This window comes from Homo sapiens, chromosome 18 (assembly GCF_000001405.40).
Source record: "Homo sapiens chromosome 18, GRCh38.p14 Primary Assembly".
In the NCBI taxonomy this organism is placed as follows: Eukaryota; Metazoa; Chordata; class Mammalia; order Primates; family Hominidae; genus Homo; species Homo sapiens.
The window spans coordinates 11,516,437-11,521,467 of NC_000018.10; the positions used below are offsets into that span (position 1 = coordinate 11,516,437).

General features: G+C 44.5%; 1 annotated feature.

Moving 5' to 3' along the window:
* Positions 2,610-3,110: an enhancer, noted in NCBI's record as "H3K4me1 hESC enhancer chr18:11519045-11519545 (GRCh37/hg19 assembly coordinates)". NCBI's record gives its function as "activates a minimal SCP1, AML or CMV promoter by ChIP-STARR-seq in naive H9 embryonic stem cells {active_cell/tissue: H9 hESC(naive)}" and the evidence as "EXISTENCE:reporter gene assay evidence [ECO:0000049][PMID:30033119]".

Below are 5,031 nucleotides of genomic sequence, written 5' to 3' on the forward strand. Positions count from 1 at the left end.
TAAAAATAGACAAAGTCTATTATTTTCACATAAGAGAAATGATGACAGTCTTACACTATTGGTGCCCAAAGAAACTGCAATTTATCAAAAAAAAAAAAGAATTCCTCAAGAAAAGGGAAACAATAATATTGAAATTTTTATCAAAGCAAATTATTGTTTTGCTGCCTTTCCAGTTTTATAGGCCACATCATTTAAAATTCCAAAGAAAAAGGAGGAAGATTATTGAAATACCATCTATAAAGCAGATTTTACTTCTTGGAAGAAAATATATGTACATACAAGTTATTGCCATAGTTTAAGCAGCCATTATCATTTTTAGACACAACCCTCCATCCATCTGAGTGATCCTGGAAGGACTCATGGAATAGTGAGACGGGGAGCGGTTCAACAGACCATCAACGGCAGGTCTGTCTTGTCCATTCCTCAACAAATGCTGAAGTGCCTCAGCTGCGGCCCCACGCTCAGGTTCCAGCCAAGGCTGACTTCACTGGAGCATGCTGCGCTCAGCAAAGACAGCGACAAGGATCCCATCATTCGACCACACAGCAATACTGGAGGAGGCAAGACCTAATTCATCTACAATACTTGGCCCACTGTTTTAATCACTGCGACAACCAAATAAAATCGTTAGGTATCTAATTGGTGACACTGGAAGTTCAGACAGCAGACATCCTAGGACTCCCAAGCTGTAGCAGCCATGACAGGAGAATTTCCCAACCCGCGTCTGAGCTCCAGACTCCCAGGCCAGGTGCCAGTGATTATCTTCAAAGCTGGAGGCCAGCTGAGAGGAAAAGTGGCCAGTTGGGCCGTTTGATTAAGTGTTAGTTGGAGAATTTTCCATGGAACATACATTTTGCAATGCAGTTAAGGAGGGAGGGGAAAAAAGTGTCTCTCTTGCAAATATTCTATGGGGAAAACAGCCTGTTGTATGAAGAATCCCGCTCCCCACAGGCTCACCCTAATAGACAAAATCTGAGCATCTACAGATGTGCATGAGGCATGGGCTCTGGTCTGTGCCAGATGGTGACTATGTTTTCCTGCCCTGGGAGAAGGCTGTCTGCATAAGACATCTCATTCAGCAATCTATTAGGACTTCAGAGGCTTTTAGGGGTGACAAGAGCCCACATAAGGATTTAAGAGAGTTAAAAACAGATGTCTGTCTCTTTTATTCCTGGCTCTGAGTCTTTATTGTGAGAAGGTTGCTTTATTGGCCATTTTTCTGTAGAGTTAATCTCCCATTAGAGTGGCTTAGAGCTACGGCCCAATGGGTCTGCCACCTATTTTTATAAATAAAGTTTTACCATAACATACACACTATCCTTACATTTGCATATCACCCATGGCCACTTCCATGCTACATTGCTAGAGTTGAATTATTGTGGCAGAGACTGCTAAGCTTAAGACATTTACTATCTGACCCTTTACAGAGGCCTGCCAACTCTAGACTACAGGCTAAGAGCAGGACTGGTAGGCTTCCACCCTATCACAGCATTCCCCCGCTCACAGCCTCTGCCCATGTTTCACCAGATGGATGAGGCGCTCCCTCTCAGAACGAAAGCAGCCCAGGCACAGTGTTTTGGAAGAATTCCAAATTGTCATCATGTTGCTTGGAAGGTGGCTGGTTTCTTCTGACCCACTCAGCAAAGGAACAGGACTGTACTGTGGGGGACCTACTCGATGCCCATGGCTTGATATAAAATGAGAATCCAGCAAAAGGTGCTGAGGGCTTTGGAGGCTGTGGGTGTGGCAGTCCCTGCATGAGCAGACTCACGTGGCCGCCCTCACAGGTGCAGACACAGTAGGGCCATGGGGTGCCCAGCATCAATGGGAAAGGCAAAAGAAATGAGCTTCTTTATCTCATCTACCCAACAATGACAGAGTCTGACTCATCAACAGGCAACTGCAGCCATACTTTGGGTGGGGGTCCTTAGGGAGCCAATAATTTTAAATTCAAAGTTTGGAGAGGAGGGAGCCTCTGGCTCCCAGGGAAAGCATCTCAGCGACTGACACTAAGAAACTTTCAGAGGCCACGAGCTGATCTTCGGTATCTGCTTGGACTTGGCCTGGAACACTGGGTTTGTCCAGCCCATGGGAGAACCAGAACTAAAGAGCTTGACCACCTCAGTGAAGGGACACAGAGGCCAGGCAGAAGTTTCTCTGCATGCTGTTCTACTCTCTGCCTAGCACTGACACTACAACTCCCAATTCTTCTGTATTAAAAGGAGCACCTGCATATATGCTAACTTTTCAGGAACAGCACACTGACATCTGGCCACTTATGTTTTTTCTGGAGCAAGATACAAGTCCCCTAATTAATTATGGATCAAACCATCAATGCCTAAAAGAGGTGAGTTTCATTCTCATAAAAGGAGCTCAGTTTTTTTAAAGGCTTTCATGTGAATTTTCAGAGCCTGGCAGCATCTTTCTGCTGTGCTTAATAGCGAAGGGTGAATGCTTCATTTTCTACCAAAACACGCCTTCCACGTGTGGGGATCTCCAACGGGCGTCTGGAGCTCTTGGCTGGAGAGGCTGCCTCTGCCCCAGTGCCAGGTGCGCTGGAGAAAACAGGCATGGGAGCACAGGAAGGATCACGGCTGTCGCACAGGAGGCATGGAGCTGACGGGACCTCCAGGGGCACAGGATGGGGTCAGGATAGGCGAGGACCTTTGGATGGCAGGAGATGGCAGAGCATTGAGAAAGAACAGATTCTGCGGAGCTGCGAGGTGAGAGCGAGGGTAGTGGGTTTGGGCTCTGCTATGCGAAGCCGGCTTTGGGTGTCCTTGCATTGCTGGGCCCTTGGGGGCAGGTTCTTGCACCTCTGTTGGCGGATGCGTGCCCTCTAGTGGCAATTTATGGCAGCCAATTCTGTCCTTAACACTGGGGGAGTTGTACATCCCATTCAGAATATGAAAGCTATGCGTTTATCTCCCCAAACCCACACTTCTGAAAATGCACACACAGTTTTGCTGAAAATATATAAATAAGAAGATCAATGAAAGGACAACTCCACCGACGAGACCTTGAAAAAAACACCACATGACTACAGACCCTTCCCGGGTGGCCATGGGGCAGGGCAGGTCGTCTACCCATTGGCCAACAGAATATTTTTTTAATGACACTTAATTTGCAGATGCATAAAAGTGTCTCTGTGAAAACAAAACCAAATTTCAAAGGGGCTCAAATCGCCTCAAATCTTGGTAGCAACGGAGCATGTTTTCAGCAATTAAAAAATGCCTTTCATTTTGGCAAATCCCCTATTTCCTTCCAACCAGTTCTGAAACTACTTTACCATAAAATAGCCCTAGAAATGTTTTTTTCTTCCAGGAAGGTAAATTCAGTTTTTAATGTAAAATAATTTTAGACCTCCCATTCAGACTCTTATATTCATGGTATGCTGTAATTTATTTATTTAAAATTTAAACCTGTTTAAGCTCTGATTTATTTTTTAATTTTTATTTAATATACACAACTTTTATTTTTGAGATGGAGTCCTGCTCTGTCACCAGGCTGGAGTGCAGTGGCATAATCTTGGCTAACTAGAACCTCAACTTCTCGGGTTCAAGCCATCCCCTGCCTCAGCCTCCTAAGTAGCTAGGATTACAGGCACACGTCACCACCCCTGGCTAATGTTTTGTATATTAGTAGAGACGGGGTTTCACCACGTTGGCCAGGATGGTCTCGATCTCCCAACCTCATGATCCTCCCGCCTTGGACTCCCAAAGTGCAGGGATTACAGATGTGAGCCACCGCATCCGGCCTATATACAACTTTTAAAAACACCAGCCAGCAATGCAATTTTTTCTCTTTAAAAAAAAAGAGATTGTTTTCAACCATTCTAAAAAATTTTTAAACTGTATGCAATGTGCACCCTAAAATTCCACCAGATAAGAGAGAAAGGGGAGATAAAATTTTAAATTTTAATCAACTGTAATTTTCAGAAAATAGTAAGATTATATATTAGAAAGAGGAGAAGCTGTCTTTATTTGCTAACCTTTATCTATGTACCATTTCCAACAGAACTTGAGGTCAAAAACCATGTTTTACCTCTTTAAAACCAGTGTTCATATGTACAAAATATGCAGTAAGGCAAGAATATGTGTGGACAACACAAAACACAACTGTATATTTATGTGCTTTAAAATGAATTAATGTCACTGCTCTCACCTTATGCAAAGCTGGAATAGGAAAAAGGAGAGTTTGCATACTGATCTCTCGACATGCCTATTTAGTATTGACAAGACTTCTCCTTAAACCCAGTCTGATTCCAAACCACAGCGTTATCCGAGGGGAACTCCTGGCTCAGGCATGATGAATCACCAGGCTGGAGTCCCGATTCTTGGGGTGGGTACTCTCCTGCTTGGTGCTTTCGTGCTTCTAAGTGGAAATGGCTTCTCCTACTATGGAAAAGGTCTACGTGATAAACAAGCAAAGAAAAACTATCTGTGATCATGGGCCCTAGAAATGAAACATGTTGCTCTTTTTATTTCTTTCATATATTACTTGTCCAGGTTCAATTCTTTCCAGTGGGGCTATTATTGTCTGAGGCTCTGAAAGTTGTACTCATAGGTCAATCAATGTGTATCAGTGACCTTCATCTCTGCAGCCTGTCAGTGCATACCAGTGACCTTCACACCCATCAGTGTGTACCAGTGACCTTCACATCTATCAGTGTATACAGTGACCTTCACACTTAGTGTGTACCAGTGACTTTCACCTTCATACCCATCAGTGTGTACCAGTGATACCTTCACACTCATTAAGGTGTACCAGTGACCTTCACTTTTATGCCTCATTACAGTGTAACAGTGACCCCCCTTCACACCACATGAGTGTGTACCAGTGACCTTCACACATATCGTTGTGTACCAGTGACGTTCACCTTCATGGCCATCAGTGTGTACCAGTGACCACCCCTTCACACCACATGAATGTGTACCAGAAACCTTCACACCCATCAGTGTGTACCAGTGACCTCCCCTTCACGCCCATCAGTGTGTACCGGTGACCTCCCCTTCACACCCATCACTGTGT